A 21,679-nucleotide genomic window follows, 5' to 3' on the forward strand; every position below is an offset into this window, starting at 1 on the left:
TTATGCTAGACAGCACAGACAATGATGTATCAGTATACAATATACAGGGGCTACAGTTGTATCATTTGGTATTTTGGCTCTTTCTGTGAATATAAAACCACTTTTAATTGCAACACTTGTGCAATTTATCATGATGAATTCTCTGCATTCTTGCCTCTGGCGTTGTGAGAAAGCCTTGGGGTGCCAGCATGTGGTCCGAGGTCTGGGAGTGAGGCCTGAGCCCCCCTGAATTCTACTCTGTTGCTCTGGTGGAGATGACAAGGCCAAGGGTCATAGAGAAATTGAGTCGCAAATGTGCAGAGCTCGCCACACCTTTTGACCTCTGGACTAGTTTGGTCAAGAGAAACTTCCAACTCTACCTCAGGATGGATAAATTCCTGGTCACTGGGAGGTCCAATCAGAAACAGGACATGGAATTCTCCCCTTGGGCTTTACTTAGAACCAGTCCCAGGAATATACAACTAGCATAGCAGCCCATTCCCATCTGAGATCTCTCTGAAGAATATGGACATTTTCCTTTCACTCCTTCCTATCTTCTTTAGTCTGAACCTCCATTCTGGAGCGGGATTGATCCTTATGACAAGATAAAATGGTAGCATGGCATTTTGGCTTACTATTAGGAGTTTCTTGATTTACCTAACCACCGCGACCATATGCTGTTGGCTCAGTTTTGTGCTTGATAAAATCTTAGCATGTTACCAACAGAGCCGCTTTGACTATGTTATGTTACATTTTAAAGCAGAGATTTAAAATTTGGGTGGGATAGGGAAAGGAATATGATGTGTCAAAATCCTGAGAGGGTATCTGGAATCTTAAAAATATATTAAATATTAAAATATAATTTGGGTATAACAAAAGACCTTGATCATCCCCCTAATATAACCTATTCAAAGTAAAAGGCTTTTGCCTCTTGTGACTGTGGGTAAGTGGTTTAATCTCTTAGCTTCTGCTTCTCATCTATAAGATATGGATAATATATTATTATCTAATGCATAAGATTGTTGAGACAATTAAATGCCATATGGTATGTAAAGTACAGCACTTAGCACATTGCCTGATACAAACTAACCACTGAATAAATGATATCATTATTATTACAATGATTACATTATTAATACTATTATTGGCCTGGTAGGGTACATAGAATACAGACTCTTTTTTTTTTTTTTTTTTTTGAGACGGAGTCTCACACTGTCGCCTGGGCTGGAGTGCAGTGGCGTGATCTCAGCTCACTGCAACCTCCACCTCCTGGGTTCAAGAGATTCTCCTGCCTCAGCCTCTCGAGTAGCTGGGATTACAGGCGCCCACCACCACGCCTGGCTAATTTTTTTTTGTATTTGTAGTAGAGACGGGATTTCACTATGTTGGCCAGGCTGCTCTCGAACTCCTGACCTCTTAATCCACCTGCCTTGGCCTCCCAAAGTGCTGGGATTACAGGCGTGAGCCACCGCGCCTGGCCAGAATACAGACTCTTAATTTAGATGACATGGCAATTCTTAAGAGGGAGTGCGTGAGTTATTTTTGGCTATAGAGAGAGGATTTTTAAAAGGCTGAGAAATATTATTTTCAAGGAAAACTGTGCCCACAGCCTATCACTTTCTATTTATTGCCTTTACTTTGTAGTGATGCCAGTTTTGAAGAAATCCCATATGACTTTCAGTCAGGTATTTTGTAAGACCATCTGTCTTCATTTTGGCTCGTCAAGGAAATCCAATCCTAAATATTAATCAGTTGAGAGGGCTGGCTGTAACTGTCTTATTAACCAAGTTCCCACCTTTAGCTCCCAGATCCGGATCTATGTACTGTTCTAAGTTGTTTGATGTGGTTCTCACCTCCTCTCTGAGCTCATACTGATCGATGATGCTTTTCAGCTTTTCTGCAAGCTCTGTGTTCTCCTGACAGAGCTTCATATTTCGCTCACTCTGCTGCTCGATCTGGCCCTGGATGTCCGTGAGGGTACTCTGGAAATGGCTTGTGATTTCCTTCCTTTTCTCTTCTTCCTCACGTGCCCGCTGAAGCGCCTCTTCCTGCGGATAAAAAGCAAAACATTTTGTTTAAATGCACCCCGGGTTTATAGAACTCAGCATTAGGTCACCTAAAGGAGATAAGTGTGCAGAGTAGGTGGGATGTTTTTTCTCAGTTCTCTAGAGCTAAAGCTGCTCAGCCCCAAAATAAATGTATGAGTAAAGGTTTCAGCTGTGAGTACATAGTTACTCAGAACAGGTGCTGTGAAGGCCTTGAATTTGTAGTCAGTGATGAATAGACTTGTTTTAAAGATGATGCGTCTCTTGCTGAGTGAATGAACTGCAGCGATTTCTAACAAACACACAGTCACACGATTTTGATCTCTTGGCTGTGGCCTGAAAAAAAGGCCACTTGAGTTTACTGATGGATGAGACAGATCATGTGTTTCTCTGGTTTGGTAAAGGGAGAACAATAGATCTTATATTTCCCTGTAAAAACCATGGCATATTAACCACATAATTATATTACCAAGTTTTGTAAATATAAGTGATCACAATAAAAATTTTCTATTTGTGAGAAAAAACTTTCATCAAAAAGCTTTAAAAAAGGAAACTAAGACAGCATAGCTCAATTACAGCCATTCAAGAATATAAAAGGGAATCTTTCCAAACATGCTGGATATTATTTTGTTTTTGAAAGAACAATCATTAAATGTGTCACATAGGGTAATTAAAATGTTCAATGTAAATTTTGAATCTGAAAGCAATATTAAGTTTCAAATCTTCTTTAACTCTAAAGTGAAACATCTAATTTTCCTTCTTCCGCTTTGTTAACATTGAAGAATTGCAAATTAACTTTTATATCATTTCTGTTCTCTTTTCTCCTAAATCAAAACTCTCCATTCATTGCTAGCCACTAACAATGAGCTCCAATTTCCTCCATATCTATATTGAGAATTGCTTTGCGATTGTTATTCTTTTTGAATAAAAGGGTTTAATTTTGCTACATCCTACCAAAGATAGAGACATTTACGTGGCTGACAAATGATACAGACATTTTAGGATTCCTTTCAGTTCTGATTAATTGTTAATATGAAAGCTTGCTTCGTTGTTGGCAAGTAAAATTATACTGAATTTGATTGCCTACCAAGTTCAAATTATGTAACAGGATTTTTTAAAAGAAATAATAATTTTTAACAGAAGTAATTGTACAGACCTTTATCATAACAGAATAATGTGATCCAAATAAAAACTGATGCTGAGAATATATGCTCTGAAAATATTTTATCATTAGGTTTCTTCTTTCCTCTATAATAACAACACATTTCCCAACTCTAATGTGACTCCTGATGTCAGAATCATAATTTATTCATGTTATAAACCTTTATTAAGCAACAACTTCTCAGGGGTATTGAAGATATCTGTACTTCTTAAACTGAAGAAATAAACTATCCGAGATGTTATTTCCCTGAACTTTGTATACTAACACTTACTATATGTGTTTCGCTAAAAATAATTATGGTTACCAGTTAGGAGCAACTAAATATATGTGTGATTATGATTGTTTCCTCACTGGTCCTGATTAGCTTAGAAGTCAGCAAGTTTGGAATCAGAACTACAGACCATGATTTGAATACCGTTTGTATTTATAAATATTCCATGAATGAATAAATGAAACACCCCATGCAAGTCTGAGTTGTTGTTTTTTTTTTAATTGGGAACTGGCTATAGAAAGAAGGTACAGATGATAGGATGGCACTAAATAAATGTCAAACAAACAATCATAACCGCCAATCCTGGCCCAAAAGATGTAATCTTGCATATATATATATTTTTTGTTTTGTTTTGTTTTGTTTTGTTTTGTTTTGAGATGAAGTCTCACTCTGTCGCCCAGGCTGGAGTGCAGTGGCATGATCTCGGCTCACTGCAACCTCCAACACCCGAGTTCAAGTGATTCTCCTGCCTCAGCCCCCTGAGTAGCTGGGATTACAGGCACGCATCACCAAGCTCAGCTAATTTTTTTATTTTTAGTAGAGACGGGGTTTCACCATGTTGGCGAGGCTGGTCTCAAACTCCAGACCTCAGATGATCTGCCCACCTTGGCCGCCCAAAGTGCTGGGATTATGGGGGTTGAGCCACTGCCCCCGGCCTATATTGTTTTTCAATGAGACCAAAAGAAATCTAGCAAAATCTTATAAAATTTGAGTCCATTGTTAGAAGGATTTTCAATCATTTGGACAGTGTCTGAGATAAAATTATCTTTTCTTTATCAAATACATTATTCAAAGTCAAAATAATGTCAATAAAATTGAGGGATGAAGTCTGAGATAACAAAAAAACCTTGCAAGCATCATTGTGCATCTTACAACTGGTGCTGTGCCTGGCACATAATCCAAAGGTATTCAGTAAATGTTTATTTAATGAATCAGTGAATTATTAATTTATGTACAGACATATGAGTAGCTTGGACTAGATCATTCCTACAGTCCTTTCCACATTAAAATTCTGTGATATTCTGACAACAAATGCTTCTCATTTCTTTAGGAAAATCATGCTCCCTGAGACACTTACCCCTCTCTTACTAGGCAGTTCTTTTTCAGCATAGTTTGAGGCTCAGATTTATCACTTTGAATATATGTATGATTTTGTTGAAACAAACCCATGTCTCAGACTTTTATCAATCCTTTCTTAAGTTATCCTAAATTGTGAGGTTGTATGTGTGTGTGTGTGTGTGTCTGTGTGTGTGTGTGTGCGTTTGACTCATTAAAGAAGCGGTTTTAATAAAGAAAAGTAAAAGCTAAAATTTGTGATGGCGGAAATACCTAGTTATACATTGTCTTTCTATATCTTCCCAAGCTCCCAGCGCATGGATTTTAGATTTAGGTACACTTAAGGTGTTTCACTAGTGTGGCCAAGGAAGCTCATATCAAGTTGACCCTTTTGCAAATAACAACTGTAAACTCTGGATGAAATGCAAGAAACAATGATGACACTAGAGAGTAAACAAAATCAGACAGACTCTAGAGGGAAGTTGGCACTTGTACATGAGTTTCCTATTCTTTATAGCTTTTAGCTTGAGGGAAATCTGCAGTTGGCAGGAGTATGAGGTGGGCAAAATTCTCATATAAAACATACCATCTTTCATATTAGAAGAATAAGAATACAGAGTTCTGGACAACTATAGTCCCTCAACAGTGAGGGGAAGATCACCCAAAAAAAGAGAGAGTCAGAGAAATAGAGCCCAGATCCTGTGAATGAACTTTACACAAATCTGATTGGCCTTGAGCCACACATGTGCAAAGCAGTCTAGCTAAGTAGAAAAGAACTGAACTGAGATTTCAGCTGCTGCTCAAGAGACAAAGTTTATGGTTTGAATCTAACCAAATTAATTGTCTGCTTAAAAAAATAAAAACTATTCATCATATAGTAGAATCCAGATTCTCCAGAACATAATAGTCACAATATCCAGGATCCAATAGACAATGGCTTGACATATGAAGAACCAAGAAAATATGGCCTATTCTCAAAAGAAAAGACAATTAGAGAAGGCTTTTTCTACAATGCTGCAAATGTGGAATTAGCAGACAAGTATTTTAAAACAGGTATTATAACTATGGTCAATGATGTAAAGGAAAATATTATCTCAATGAATGAGAAGGTAGAAAATCTCAGGTGAGAGGTTACATACAAAAAAAGAACCAAATGGAAATTCTGAAATTAAAAATCGCAAAATCTGAAACACAACCATCACTGGATGGATTTAGAGCAGAATGAAAATGAGAGAGAAAAGAATCACTGAATGTGAAGATAGACCAATCAAAATAAGATAATCTAAAAATAAAAGAGAAAAAGTATTGGTGAAGAATGTGAAGACTGACTCGAAGACCTGTGGGACAATATCAAAAGGTCTACACACACAGAGTTAGAATCTTAGAAGGGAAGAAGATGGAGAGAAAGTGGAGCAGAAAAACTATTTGAAGAAATAATGGCTGAAAGAAATTCAAATTTGGTAAAAGACATATAATTACAGATACAAAAAAGCTTAGCAAATACCAAGTAGGGTACATGTGAAAAAAACCACTCCTGGCCTTAAAGCAGTAAAAGTTCTGAAAACGAAAGATCAATACAAAGACCTTGAAAAGGGCAGAGAAAAAGGACATATCACATATGGGGGAACAATAATTCAAATGATTGTTGATTTTCATGAGAAATTTTAAAAGCCAGTATAGTGGCACATTTATTTAAGGCTAAAAGGAAAAAAAAAAAAAAAACCCACGAATAGGTTCTCTCAATGCAGAATTCTATATCCAATGAATTTAGCCTTCAATTAAAAAAAAAATAAAGATGTTTTAAAGATAAAAGGCAACTAAGAGAATTGATTACCAGCAGATTTGTACTATAAGAAATACTAAAAGAAGTACTTCAGGCTGAGGGAAATGACATCAGACAGAAATGTGAAGCTACAGAATGAATAAGAAGTATCAGGAATGGTAAACATCTGGGTAGATAAAAGGGATATAGTTTTGCCTTTAATTTAAGAAGAAATACATATTATTGTTTAAAGTAAAAATTATAACAATGTCTCATCGGCTTTACAAAAGTATATAAATATAATACATATAATGATGATAGCTTAAAGGCTGAGGGAGTAAATTGATCTATTTAGTTGCAGTGTTTCTACATGTTATGTGAAGTAATACAACATTAACTCCAGGAAGACTATGAAAAATTAAGAATGTATATTGTAATCACAGAGCAACTACTAAAGATAATGTGTAGTGTTATAATTTCAAAATACAAGAGATGAAATGTAATTTTTAAATATTCAAATAATCCAAAGGAAGGCAGGAAAAGAACAAGATAAACAAAGCAGAGGTGACAAATAATAAATAATAAAATGGTAGACATATATCAAACCACATCAGTAAGTACATTATATGTTAATGGACTAGTACTGCAATTAAAGGGCAGATACTGTAGGAATGAAAAGAAGTAAGATCCAGCTATATGCTATCTTGAAAGAATGCACTTTAAATATAAAGACCCAGGCTGAAAATGAATGGATGAAAAGAGATACACCAGGCAAACAATAAGAGTAAGAAAACTAGAGTGGCTAAATTGATATCAGATAATGTAGACATCCAGACAAAGATTATTACTGGTCGGGCGTGGTGGCTCACACCTGTAATCCCAACACTTTGGGAGGCCGAGGCGGGTAGATCACAAGCTCAGGAGTTCAAGGCCAACCTGGCCAAGATGGTGAAACCCCGTCTCTACTAAAAATACAAAAATTAGCCAGGCATGGTGGCGGGTGCCTGTAATTTCAGCTACTCAGGAGGCTAAGGCAGAGAATTGCTTGAACCCGGGAGGCGGAGGTTGCAGTGAGCCGAGATTGCACCACCGCACTCCAGCCTGGACGACAGAGCGAGACTCCATCTCACAAAAAAAAAAAAAAAAAAAAAGATTACTAAGGGACATTTCATAAAGGTAAAATCACCAATTCATCAAGAGGACATAATAATCATAAATGTATATACACCTAATATTAATGCTTCAAAGTACATAAAGCAGAAATTGACATAATTAAAATAAGCGGACAATTCCACAATTATATGAAGAGATTTTTAACTCTCATTTCTCAGCAATTGATAAAAAAATTCAAAAAAGGCATAAATGATTTAAAGCTAATTGTTACTTATAGAACACTACACCCAACATCTGAAAAACATTGTTTTGAAGTACATATGGTATCAAGATAAGACCATGTATGATCGGCTATAAAAATTAAATAACACTTCTAAATAATCCCTGGGTCAAAGAAAAAATTAGAAAGAAAATTTGAAAATATTTTGAATTTGAATTCAAATTTCAAATATTGATTTTGACATTTAAATATGCTTGATCTTGGACAACCAATTTGGATTGCTGAGTGTCAGTTTCTTCACCAATAAAGTGGAGATATTAACCTTCACTGGGTTATCATGAAGATTAAATGAAATAATGTATATAAAGCACTTAGCATAACTTCTGGCATAATAATAATACTTAATGTCATTGTTCATAATGAGAAGCCATTACTGAGGGCATATGGGCACACTTACAGGGTCTCCTGCTACTTTGATCATTCTGTCTTTGTTTTTTTGGTGGGGGAGAATCTCTAGCCAGTTGGATGGTATTAATAAGATCTCTCTCTCTCTCTCTTTATTTTCTGAGACATTGCTCTCTGTCACTCAGGTTGGAGTGTAGTGGCGCAATCATAACTTACTGCAGGCTCGAACTTCTGGGCTCAAATGATCCTCCTGCTTCAGCCTCCCAAGTAGCTGGCACTGCAGGAACGTGCCACACTCAGCTAATTTTCCTGATTTTTGGTAGAGACAATGTCTTGCTCTCATAAATGTTGCCCAGGCTGGTCTCGAATTCCCAAGCTGAAGTGATCCTCCGGCCTTGGGCTTCCAAAATGCTAGGATTACAGATGTGACCCACTGTGACCAGCTGAACATTCTGTCTTTCAATACTACCCAAGAAGACCACGCTGTATCATTCTACTCTTTATATCTCTTTGTTGATAAATGATCCCACCCTATCTGATTTAATTTTATCTCCTTACTGTGTAACATTACTGACAGACAGTGGATTTACGCAGGCACACAAGAGATTTATGCATCCTTTGAATCCAAACCTTGAGTTGAGGACGATGCTTCCATCCTCAGGCCCCCATTCGGCCTGGGAGTCTGTCTTCAGTACTATTGTTGACAAGACGCCAGTAGCACATCTAAAACCTGCCATTTGAGACTTTGACTTCATCACACTGGTTCTCCATTTCCCAAATATCAAAAAACAATTTGGGAAAATGAGGAACCATGATTCTCTTCTATTTTTCTTCCTAACTCAATTGTACAAATTCAGCAGTGATTTTCATGTACTCTGTTTCTTGAAGTATCTCCTTTTAAACGCTTATAATAATAACTACCTTACAGGAACACTGGTGTCTGATTAATTATTATTTGTCAAAAGATTTAGGATCTTCAGCTGGAAAGGGGATTGGGGATGCACACAGTATCATCTTGGAGAGCTCTGCATCTTGCTATATTGAATGGAGCTAGTGTCTCTGTGTAATCAAATTAACCACACTGCTAGGGCTTACGCTGTAATTAATGAAACCCGTGCAGACCAAATGAAGTGATCAGTCTATTATTTTTAGATTGAATAATTAAACCTGAAGAGCTTCAGTGCTTTTTCCAATAGCTTCCTTTTTTTCAGATGACTATTGACATTTTGGTTCTCAATCTCACTTCACTGTGTCAATTCGGTGTGTGTCCATTTGTCTCATGTCATGCAGAATTCATTATAACACCAAAAATGCTGAATCTTTACAAATGTATTTTTTTAAAAGAACTAAGGCCCACCTTAGAAACAAACTCAACATAATAGAAAGGTAAGGGGAATGGTATGCATTTTATCAAGGGCCTGCACTGTGTCAGGTACTGTGCGGGTACCTTACCTATTCAACTTCATCTAATTTTTTCCCAGCCACACAGTGAAGCTGGTCTAATCTCCATTTTACGGATGAAGAAAGTAGCTCAAGGAGGTAAAATTATTTAAGGTTACAAGCAAGCAAGGGGCAGAGGCAGTATTTGAACCCAAGCCTCTCTGATTCTAAAATTCACACTCTTTCCATGAGTAGCAGAGGCCTGTCTCTGTGCCCCATTCAAGAAATTATGTTATTCTGAGGCATGGGGACATACCTTCAGAGTCTTGTTGTGTCTCTGCAGCTCCCGGCACAGACTCTCCAATTTGCTTCGAGCGAGGATAGCTCTGCTGTGTTCACCTTGTAACTGGTCCTTTTCTTTTTGAATTTGTACCTGTTTCTTTTGGAGGAGCTTTAACTTCTTTTGCTCAGTACGATGTTCATCCAGCTGTACACATGGAGATACAAACATGAAAGAAAATGGCAGGGATCTCCTTGGAGTGGATAGAAAAAAAGCAAACCTAAAGATTACTCTGTGGTTGTTTGGAAACATTTTTTGCTATTATCTCTTCCTCTGGAAGTAAATGAAATTCACAAACGTCACCTTTGTAGTACTTGAAGGTATATAGTTTTTAGAACACAGCATTGATAGGTTTTTCATTATTATTAGTCTCTTTTTACTTTGATCTATTTTTGGATGGTCTAGAAATATTTTTCCTGAGTCTATCTAACCAATATTGAATAGCCAGACAAAATAGAAAGGCATGTCTCAGAATCTGTAAACTGCCAGAGTTCATGACGATGCCTTGCATTGAGGCAATGATCTAAAGTCTGTCTGCTTGGGTTGCATTGAGTTTTCCTAATTCTTCCTTGAAACAAGCTTCTAGCGCTATTTTTAAAAATAGGAAAGAGAAATGCAGCCTCCTGGTAAACAGAAGATGAAGTTCTCTTCTTTATAATGTTGGGCTCTGAGTGTGGATTGTTTATGTGTGGGAAAGGAGAAGAGAAAGTACCCTTCCACTACCTAAGCATTGACGGGTTTTCACCAAAGCATCAGAAATAGCTTCTGCATGATTCAACAGCATGAATAGCAAATATCTGTAACACGCCTTGTTGCTCCCCACCCGCACCCGCTCTGTGCTTATAACAAATAAATCATTCTGCTGGTTTCTGCTGAGCCCAGTTGAACTCTTCTCATGTTCCTCCAGCAGCCACAACTAAAGTACTGTATCAGGACTGCCTTGGAACATGAAACCAACTTACCGCTGTACTTTCCATCTTGGATGCTGAAGTTCTAGGGTAGGGTTGTCAGTAAAATGCAGGACACCCAGTTAAATTTAAATTTCAAATAAATAAGAAATAATTTTTAGCGTAAGTATTAATATATTCCAAATATTGCATGAGACATATTTTTGCCAAAAAGTTATTTGTTGTTTGTCTGAAACGTAAACTTTGTATTTTTATTTGTTACATCTGGCAGCATTATTATGGAGTTGTAGACCTGGTGTGGGGAGTATGGGGATCAACCTCAGAAGCCTCCAGAGAGAGATTGGTGGACTCTAGGAGTGTCGATCTCAGACTGACCATCGCTGGGGCCACATCCAAGCAGCAGCCCTTTGTCCAGAGCCATTTCCTCCACTGGCCTCAGTTTCTGTAGGGCCCAGATGGTGCTGAAGTCAGGTAAGTACTAGTCCTAATAACGACTTTGTTGGTGAACGGAAAGGAAAAGCCCTGGTTCTTCTGGACCTCAGGTGTTCTGGTGCCTCACAGAGCCTAATGCAAATGGATACAGATGCCACATGAGTCCTGACACGTGCCTCAGTTTCCCCATTTTAAAAAAGCCATTGGGGCTGGGCGTGGTGGCTCATGCCTGTAATCCCTGCACTTTTGGATGCTGAGGCAGGCAGATCATGAGGTCAGGAGATCAAGACCATCCTGGCCAACGTGGTGAAACCCCATCTCTACTAAAAATACATAAATTAGCCGGGCGTGGTGGTATGCACCTGTAATCCCAGCTACTTGGGAGGCTGAGGCAGGAGAATTGCTTGAACCAGGGAGATGGAGGTTGCAGTGAGTCATGATTGTGCCACTGCGCTCCAGCCTGGGCAACAGAGCAAGACTCCATCTCAAAAAATAATAAATAAAAAATAAATAGAAAAGCAGTTGTTCTTTCTGAGCAAGATGAACACCTGTCACACTTTCTTCGGTTCACATTTTATTTCTTTCCTCTCTCCCTCCTGCCACCCTAAAATAAGCATTTTAAACCCTTGCCAGATAAAGCTAAGGATATGTATATATGATATTCTATCTTCATACTTATGTGCAATTTCTAGCTACTAGTGGAAATTAGCATTGTAAAAACAAAACCCATATTACTAAAAATATTGATTGAAATAGATATCCTCCTTGGAAAATAAATAATCTGTTATTAAATATTTCTCATGCTAAGCTGCTCATAGTATAGATGTGAGCCTTTAATTTTGCACCATAGTTATTAGATAGGCGTGAAATTTCTTGTACATATATTTGGATTTAAAATGACTATTGTCCTTTCTTGAAATTTATATATTGTAGGCCAGGCACGGTGGCTCATGCCTGTAATCCCAGCACTCTGGGAGGCTGAGGCAGGCGGATCACCTGAAGTCAGGAGATGGAGACCAGCCTGGCCAACATGGTGAAACCTCATCTCTACTAAAAATACAAAAATTAGCTGAGCCTAGGGGCGGGTGCCTGTAATTCCAGCTACTTGGGAGGCTGAGGCAGGAGAATCACTTGAGCCTGGGAGGCGGAGGTTGCAGTGAGTTGAGATCGTGCCATTGCACTCCAGCCTGGGTGACAAGAGCAAGACTCCATCTCAAAAAAAAAGAAAAAAGAAAAAGAAAAGAAATTTATATATTGTTATTATTATTGCCATTCTGGCGTAGACTTTACCTTCTGAAGATTAAACCATATGTCAGGGCTTCTGAACCCCAGCACAAGTAACATACTGGGCCAGATAATTTTTTGTTGTTGGGGCTGTCCTATGCCTTGTAAGTTGCTCAACACCATCCCTAGCCCCTACCTGCTATATGCCAGTAGCACTGCCCAATTGCGACACCCCAAAATATCTCCAGACAGACATGCCTATTGTCGCCTGGTGAACAAAACTGTCCCTGTTTAGGGAACTCTGCACTATGTGGCTTTATCTGAGTGTCAGGAGGAAGACACCCTACAGGTGTTTCATAAATTGGAAAGAGAAATGATTTGTGCTTGCTCATTTTCCATTTAATGTTTTATTTTTATTTTTAATTTTAATTTTTTAGAGACAGCGTCTTGCTCAGTCATCCAGGCTGGAGTGCAGTGGCACAATCATTCATAGTTCACTGAAGCCTCAAACGCCTAGCTCCAGCCATCCTCCTGCCTCAGCCTCCTGAGTAGCTGGGACAACAGTTGTGTGCCACCATGCCCAGCTAATTTTTTTGTAGAGATGGGTTCTTGCCATATTGTCCAGGCTAGTCTTGAACTCCTGAGCTCAAGCAATCTGCCTGCCTTGGCCTCCCAGAGTGCTGGGATTACAGGCATGGGCCACTGTGCTTGGCCTATTTTGTTTCTAATATTAAGCCAGATAATACTCCAGAACTTTCCTTTATATTTAAAAAAATTTAAATTATTAACAAAGTAATTCAGCCAATATTCAAGTGATTCTTGGCATTGAAGACAATGAAAAATACACATTCCCTGCCCTCTAGGTTCTTACTGCCTAGCTTCAATCAAATGCTGGCTTTGTGATTTAACTTAGGCATAGTTCTTCTGTACAACTGTAATAGGCATATAGAATTTCTGTCTGTAATTTCTCTTGTTTTCTTTCTCTTTTTTTACTAAGTTAAAAAGTAAAATTAATGCTAAGTACTAAATTAAAATCCTATTACTGATGTTGTCTTAACTACATAAGAATTGAGGAAATTAAATGTGAAAAATATTTCTCCCAGGCCATTTCCTAATTTAGTCATGAAATGTCCTTACTTATTAATGAGCTTATCTTTATTTATTAATGAATACAATGTCAGATAATATTACAGGATTTAGACTCTGCAAGGATGAGTGAGCTAGAGTGGCAGTTTGATTCACAGCTTTGAATTTGATGATTTATTCTATGTGAACACTTATATTTCAGTCATTTTCTATATTAATATCCAAATCAGTGAGCAAGGAAATAGGCTTTAGTCTCCACGTAAAAAATTGAAATTCCTCATAATTTTTCTTTTCTGAAAAGGAAATGTGATAAGTTTTTTGGGTTAATCTTCTCCTATTCATTTTTTCTAAGGTGATCTCTCAGGTTCGAAAGTTTTTTACGAGAGATGATACAAATGCCAAAATATAGCAAGTAAGGCTTGAATTGAATATGGTCTCTGGAAAAACAATCTCTTGTTTATTGGGGGTGACTGCTTTGCTAGGAGGATGAGTAGGTACAGGGAGTTCCCTGAGACCAGGATGAACAACCCTGGCTCATGGAGAAAATATCGGTAAGTCTGGAAAAGTGATGCTTCCCCAGTGCACTGTCGTGGGAATGTAACACCACACATCACTTCCTGTATTAGTCTAGAATGCTGCCCAGTCCCCTCAAGTATAGAACATGGCGCTGGAAACTAAACATGAATGGCCTTGGTATGAGTTGGTAAATCGAAGGGGTAAAGGAAAAATGACTCAGAAAATACTAAAAAGAGCAAGGATGGATAGGTGAGAATCGCATGGAAACGTGAGAGTGGGGGCCAGATTTGGGGAGAAAATATTATTTTTGACACCTAAATTATTTTTATGGTATTGAAATTGTTAATAGCCAATGCAATACAAGTTGCAAGAAAATTGATACACTGATACTTGCTTTGTGAGTTTCTACTGCTCTTTTGGAAAGCAATATGGCCATAAAGTTTAAAAACCAGAAAGCACTCATCTTGTTTAATTTAGTAAGCCTATTTCTGGAAATTTTTCTTAAAATCATAAAAAAGAAGGAAAAAGAACAAAGCTAATACGTGATGATGTTCAATGCAGAAATATTTGGTAAAGCAAAACAGTGAGAGGAATTTAAATATATTCAAATTATTGAATCAGTAGATACAGCCACTTAATGGAATATGACACAACTTTTACAAAATATATTTGTGAAGACTATATATTATATGGAAAAATGCCTGTCACGTAAGAAAACCAGATATCAACTTATATGTACCTTATGACTGTAATTATAATAAAAATCTGCATACACAGTAGAACAGGAAAAGAATATGCATAGAACAAAGTTTGTATTTTACATGAGGGATTAGAGATTTTTTGTTTATTTTGTGTATTCAGCATTATATATCTTCGTGAAGTAGTTTGTGTGTCTAAAAAATAATTTAAAAATACTGTTGGCAGGGTTAAGCAAACAGCCAGTCACGCAGAGTTTCAGAATTTTTCTGGATCTACTGCATAATAGTTCAGCATAACAGGACACATTAGGTAGAAGAACAGAAAGATTACAGGACTAGATTCAGAGTGAAAAACAAAGAAAACAAGTCACTTACTAAAGTGTGCTCCATCAACAGGGATGAAGAGTTTGTGGGCCTGAAGCTTATTCAGTTTTGGAGGCCCTCTTCAAAATAAAAAATTAAAGAGAATTAGGCCCCGGGCCTCAAAGGGGCCCATGCAAGTGAGATGTCCTGAGGTTTAAGCTTCCTCAGCTGCAATGGTAAATCTACTGTTGGGGGCAGTTCAACTTACTGCCTGGAGGGATTTTTTGCTATATGTAGTCTCTTAAGTTGCATTCTCCTGTCACTGTTTCTCCAAAAGAAGTAAGTGAAAGAATTTTTGTTTTGCCTCAAACTACCTTTTATTTGCAACTACATGATTTCATGCAATTCTTCTAAACAACGACATAAAATAGATTTCCTTGTTTATAAATAACTTAAATATGCCCCATATAGTACATGCTGAAAGTTGCTAGAACAGTTCATCCACTCCTATAGTATTCTGGTATCCAACAGAGTTGATGCACATATATAAATGCCAAGTCCAATATTAAAAACTCAGGCAACTGACTAACTTTAATAAAGTTTCCCAAACTATGTCAATATACCTAAAAATGCGTATATGTACAAAAGAAAGATTATTCTCAATAACTTCTATAAAAATAAATTCAATTGTTTGTTCCATCTAACTTCACTACTATTAGTATGAATTTTTAGTGTATGGTAAGATTTATTTTACCTTTTTCTCAACATGACACCAACACAGTCAAAAGGAGCTAGTGAGGTGCTAACATGCGAGAATTAACCCAGTGATTCTGGTCACAATGCATTTCAGGTAGAGGTACCTATGTCACTGGGATTGGGTGATATGGTTTATTTTCATTCCCTGATTTAGATAACCAAATGGATCAGATAGAGATTCTGATGGGCATTCCTTCAAAAGAATTTTTTAAGAAGCAGAAATAAAGGAGAAGGCCACTGCCTAGCTTTACTAGAGAGAATGCCACATCTTAGCTGTGGGTCTCATAATCTGCAGGGTTAGCGCACAGACCTCAGATGTTGCTGTTTACAATTCATTCTCGGATTGGCAGGTGTTTGTTGTTCCTTGAAGCTAGAGGCACTGGGCTCACTAATCGTTCTGAGAAAAGAAGCTAATCCAAGATCTTACCAATTCAGCATACTTCTTGAATAAAAAATCAAACTTTTCTTCCGGTGTTTGCAACTTGTTCAGATTTTGCATTAGCAGGTTGGCTTCTTTGCCTTAAAAAAAAAAGACATGAAAAAAATAAGTGTTGAATTTACAGTCAGGTGATAAGGGCTGGAGTCTCAGATTGACCACTTGCTAATTATTCCCAACCTTGGCTAAGCCATTCATCTTATCAGATGTAATTTTCTTTCCTATAGAAATGATGACACCTACCTTACAGAGTGAACATTAGTTGGGAAGTTTGTGAATGTGTGGTACGGTGTGAGGTTCATGGCAGACTCTCAATAAATGTTTGCTATAACAGAAGTCTCCCAGTTTTCATCACAAGAATCCGTTCTTATTTCTCCTCCCTGTATTCTTCAGAATCAAAAGATTTTATACATCAAAAATACTTTCTGAAAGAATACGTCACCCGTTTTCCCACTTGAATTAACAAAAAGGAAGCAAAACAGCCAATCAAAATTTCCGACTAGTATGAAACAGCAACACGGAGTTGCTGGGATTCCAGCCAGAAGCAGAGAAGCTTGATGAAGTAGCCTGCCCGTTTTTTCCCCTGTGTTTTTTGTTCTTTTGGTACTTCTTTTCCCTCTTTTAGGGGGAACCAAGTTTCTCTTTTTTGTACATAAACCCATTCCCTGGCGTTGGAGTGGGAATAACTCTGATCCTGTTTCCTACCAAATAGAATAAAATCATTATAGAAGGAAAACCAAGTAAAGACATGGAGAGCCTTTCCACAAGCCTTTTTCTGTCTCTGTGATAATGGACACAGCCTTCTCTGGCCTTCCTTTCCCCCACCTAGGCCTTAATATCCGTTGGCAGTTTCATTTTGTTTCCAGTTGGAGTTTATGCTACACTAAAAAAAAATTAACCCTGTTAAATAATCATGAAAGGGTGGGGCATTTTTCCCATCCCTACCTATCTATGAAAACCACTCTGTTTAATCAGAATAGGGTGGTCAAGCCACACAACAAAGCCCACACTTCCTGACATAAATCTGCTTAAGAAAATTGACAACCTTTCCCCCAAGAACAGACATTTCCCCTTGGCTAGAGTACTTGCTTTCATCTTGGAGAGGCATATATGTCATGAAATTAGGATTGCCAGATGAAATATAGGACATGGGGCATATTTGTACTAAAAAATGATTCGTTGTTTACCTGAAATTCTAATTTTTCTGGACATCCTGTATTTTCCTTTGCTAAACCTGGCAACTTTACATGGAATCAAGGAATTTTAGGTCTAGAAGGAATTTCAAAGAGCATCCAGACTAACCGGTTAATTTTATGCATTTTAGTATTTAAGGCCCAGAAAAGTCCAAAGTTACATGATTAGTGCTGGCAGAGAGAAGGCTTGAATCCAAGGCTAGCCTACTTGTTCTAAGTCACTCCACTCTCATGTGGAATTCTGATGCTAGAGAGACCTAGAGAAATAGAAGGCAACTTTTTTTTTAAATGACCTCATTCCCAACAGTTAGTTTTGTCTATCTTTGCCTAGTGAGTCAGTTCAGATTAGCCTAAAACAGGGGAAGGTGGGTGTGAGTAGGGTCCCTCCCAGCTCTCCAATTATGGCCTGTGGCATTTGCAGCTGATAATCACTGACGCCTCGCCCCTGCCAGGCATGTGCTTTGGGTTATCCCTCTACTGACAGGGATGGATTTGCATTGGTCAGGCCATCCCTTCACCTTTGTCTTCAGTCCAGGGAAGGTGCCCACATGAAGACTACAATCTCAAGTTAGAGTGTCATCTATTAAAGTCAAGAGACTACTCTTGATCATTCTTGGCCCAGGATGCAACACAGTGTTTGGCCCATGGCAAGTGCTCAGTAAATGATGATAATAATAGAATAAAACAAAGCTGGCCAGGCACGGTGGCTCACGCCTGTAATCCCAACACTTTGGGAGGCTAAGGCGGGCGGATCACGAGGTCAGGAGATCAAGACCATCCTGGCCAACATGGTGAAACCCCATCTCTACTAAAATACAAAAACTTAGCTAGGCTTGGTGGTACATGCCTGTAGTCCCAGCTACTCGGGAGGCTGAGGCAGGGGAATCACTTGAACCCAGGAGGCAGAGATTGCAGTGAGCTGAGATTGCACCACTGCACTCCACTGCAAAAAACAAACGAACAAATAAAAAAATCAAAGCCAACTAGCTCAAACTCGTATCATGTGAATCAAATAAACACTGTCATGAAAACAATTTTTTGTGACCAACTAGAGGAAAAACAGGTCTTACTCTCACCTGTGATGTTTTATGTATCCTGGAATACCTCTCAGTGTGTGTACCGACATGTGAAACCATTACCTGTCTTGTTTGGGAGAGATAGAAATGAGTGAGTCCAAAGGTTCTTGCTTTCTTCCCACATTAAGTATCTTCTCCCCTTTGGTTTTATTTTCTGTGACTGTGAGAAGAGGTTTCTTTTTGGTTTTGTTTGTTTTGTTTTTTACTCTTCACACTCACTGAGGTCTCTTTCTGCTCTACTGTGTTATTTTGTATAGAAGGTTAACATCCAGGTGCATCAATATGCCTTCAAAAATTATTCTTCCCTTCAACAAAAAATCCAGGAAACAGAATTTCTATTTGTAAGTCTCACAGGAAAAGCACTAAAACTGGAGATTAATTAAAAAAAATCCAGGAAACTGGAGATGGGCATGTGCAGAATTCATAAATTTACAACATCACTGACCTCAGTTTTTAAACTTCCATTGGTGTTGTGGGACTAGGGTGCTATGTGAAGTAATCATGGAGGAGGGGAGTAGACAGAGACTTGCTCATCATCTACAAAAGGCTATCATTACATCTCCATGGAAATAGGGTCATTTGGTGACAGTGTCAAACAAAAGAGGAAAAACTGACTTTATTCAGGGACGCTTTATCAGGAAGGAATCACCTGCCTTCTCCCTAATGTGTTCTTCCAAAGCAAGCTTCATTTCTTCCTCATGAAAGCTAGGAAGGCATGTGGGCATGTAGCCACCACACTGCGAAATGCTCAGCGTGGTAGGAAGTCTACATGAAAGTGGAACCACCTGTGTAGCAGACACAGCGCTGTTGCATAAGGCTGTGGTCACTGGCACAGTTTTATTGGAAGGTGGAGAAATTATTTTTACATCAAAGAAACAAAAAAACTGGCCGAGCGTGGTGGCTCATGCTTGCCGAGGCGGGCAGATCACGAGGTCAGGAGATCGAGACCATCCTGGCCAACGTGGTGAAACCCTGCCTCTTCTAAAAATACAAAAATTAGCTGGTGTCGTGGCACATGCCTGTAATCCCAGCTACTCTGGAGGCTGAGGCAGGAGAATCGCTTGAACCAGGGAGGCAGAAATTGCAGTGAGCCGAGACTGTACCACTGCACTCCGGCCTGGCAACAGAGCAAGACTCTCTCTCTAAAAAAAAAAAAAAAAAAAAAAAAGAAAGAAAGAAAGAAACAAAAAACCTGAAATTAAAGGCAACTAAGCCAGCTGCAGAAATGTGGACCAGGATTTTTCTGAAACTTTTAGCATAGTAATGATTGTTTATACTAAGTTTGGTGACAACTTATGCAGATTTAATGTGTTCAAATCACCAGAGGTCGGGAGAACCAGCCTGGCCAATACATAGTAAAACCGCGTCTCTACTAAAAAATACAAAAATTAGCTGGGCGTGGTGGCGCACGCCTGTAGTCCCAGCTACTTGGGAAACTGAGCAGGAGACTCGCTTGAACCTGAGAGGCAGAGGTTGCAGTGAGCTGAGATTGGCCACTCCACTCCAGCCTGGGGGACAGAGCGAGACTCCATCTCTCAAAAACAAAAGTATGCCTTTTCTCTTCCAAAATTTTTTTTTTAGAACTTTGGGGTTAAATTTCATTATAAATACGTACTTGTGTACCTCTCTAACCACCTTCCTGATTTCCATGAATTGTGGCAGAAACTTAAAGCCAGAAAAGACTGTGAATGTCCCTCTTTCAAATGTTAGACCTAGATTTATATTTCACTGTTAGTTTTGTTTTTCTTCTAATAGGATATGATTTCTAAAAATAAGCATGAGATAAATAATTCCTGAGCATCTATAGATATCTTTTAAGGGAAGTAAAATTCATGTATGCAGGGGATAGGAAGGAAAGTATTATTAAATTCACACTGGATTAAGGATAGGAGACCTGGGTTCCAGAACCAACTCTGCCATCAACTAGTTGAGTGATTTATTTATTTATTTTTTTATTTTTTTATTTTTATTATTTTGTGTGTGTGTGGACTCTCAAACTCTCTGGCTTTAATTTCCCTGTCTATAAAATTAGTGGGTTGACTAAATGGATTCTGAGTTCAACCTTTAAGATTTGGTCATTTCACAACTAAAATAGCTTTCACCATTTTTAGCTTGATTTAGATAACAATGAAAACAAAAGCAACATTGTTTGGATGGCATATTTGTTATCTTAGACTATTATGGTCCACTTTTTTAATTTACAAAGGTTCTCTTACTCCTCACTGTCACCACTCATTGTCAGGGTTTTCATTTGCTTGTTTCGTTTGGTTTTAAGGCCTGTATCAGCTTCGAAAATACCACCTAGCCTGTGTTTTCTTGTCAGATTTTGTTCCCTTTGGCTGACATTTTCTATCTCTTATCTTTCAGTGGCCTTGTCATATTTGTAGGGGAACTTTGGCCTCTCACTCAGTAGGAGAGTGGATCTGGAGTTCTTTTTTTTTTTTTTTTTTTTTTTTTTTGAGACGGAGTCTCGCTCTGTCGCCCAGGCTGGAGTGCAGTGGCGCGATCTCGGCTCACTGCAAGCTCCGCCTCCCGGGTTCACGCCATTCTCCTGCCTCAGCCTCCCGAGTAGCTGGGACTACAGGCGCCCGCTACCACGCCCGGCTAATTTTTTGTATTTTTAGTAGAGACGGGTTTTCACCGTGTTAGCCAGGATGGTCTCGATCTCCTGACCTCGTGATCCGCCCGCCTCGGCCTCCCAAAGTGCTGGGATTCCAGGCGTGAGCCACCGCGCCCGGCCCTGGAGTTCTTATTAGGTCAACAGTGATGATGTGTATACACTATTACCAATAACAAAAATAAAAATATTAGAAAAAACAGTAAAATATTCATCCATCCACTCCCTACCTTGGTCAGAAGAGAGTACTAATAATTTTCCTCAAGGCTTTTCTCTCCCCTTCCATCTGCTTCTGTAAACTCTCCTCCCTGTCAAGGTCTGGTCTAGGTTCTAGCTTCTCTATGAATCTACCTGTCAAGCTTTGTCTCTGCTTATTCCTCTTTCCCTTGAATTTCTCTGGTCTTCTTATCATCTCCTTCAGAAAATTTAGTCTCCTTCAGAAAATACCATCTCCTTCAGAAAATATCAAAGCTGCAGTTTATTACTCTCTCAGAGAAACTAGAAATCAAGCTAAAACAGATGAAACAGACTATCTGGGAGAGTGACCGGACCGTTCAAAGGAAGACTAGGGGCCGGGCGCGGTGGCTCACGTCTGCAATCCCAGCACTTTGGGAGGGTGAGGTGGGCAGATCACTTGAGGTCACAAGTTCGAGACCAGTCTGGCCAACACAGTGAAACCCCGTCTCTACTAAAAATATAAA

At 38.6% G+C, this 21,679-nt stretch overlaps 1 protein-coding gene and 1 long non-coding RNA gene across 13 annotated transcripts in view, besides 1 other annotated feature; one reads left to right on the forward strand and one right to left on the reverse strand.

Annotated features, from left to right (window-relative positions):
• The window catches only part of TXLNB (taxilin beta), a 164,789-nt gene that overhangs the window by 101,585 nt on the left and 41,525 nt on the right, over nt 1-21,679 (reverse strand). For 10 of the 11 annotated variants that reach the window (XR_007059217.1, XR_007059220.1, XR_007059216.1 and 7 more), the window contains 3 exons: nt 16,084-16,175; nt 9,710-9,880; nt 1,833-2,027 (listed from right to left, as the gene is read on the reverse strand). Coding sequence is in view for 6 of the 11 variants with exons in the window: in XM_005266836.2 (XP_005266893.1) it covers nt 1,833-2,027; nt 9,710-9,880; nt 16,084-16,175 (458 nt within the window). In the remaining 5 variants the exon portion in view is untranslated. Of the gene's footprint in view, nt 1-1,832; nt 2,028-9,709; nt 9,881-16,083; nt 16,176-16,335; nt 16,476-21,679 lie in introns of those variants that run through there. The other variant, XM_011535506.3, reaches the window with a different exon arrangement.
• Nucleotides 1,462-2,661: an enhancer, noted in NCBI's record as "P300/CBP strongly-dependent group 1 enhancer chr6:139583345-139584544 (GRCh37/hg19 assembly coordinates)". NCBI's record gives its function as "activates an origin of replication core promoter dependent on BRD2, BRD4, P300/CBP, MED14 and CDK7 cofactors, with strong dependence on P300/CBP, by STARR-seq in HCT116 cells {active_cell/tissue: HCT116}" and the evidence as "EXISTENCE:reporter gene assay evidence [ECO:0000049][PMID:35650434]".
• The window catches only part of LOC102723690 (uncharacterized), a gene marked incomplete in the record, with an annotated part of 31,533 nt that continues 20,443 nt past the window's right edge, over nt 10,590-21,679 (forward strand). For both annotated transcript variants that reach the window (NR_197427.1, NR_187746.1), the window contains 2 exon segments: nt 10,590-10,803; nt 10,913-11,112. This is a non-coding gene — a long non-coding RNA (uncharacterized LOC102723690).

This window comes from Homo sapiens, chromosome 6 (assembly GCF_000001405.40).
Source record: "Homo sapiens chromosome 6, GRCh38.p14 Primary Assembly".
Classification (NCBI taxonomy): Eukaryota; Metazoa; Chordata; class Mammalia; order Primates; family Hominidae; genus Homo; species Homo sapiens.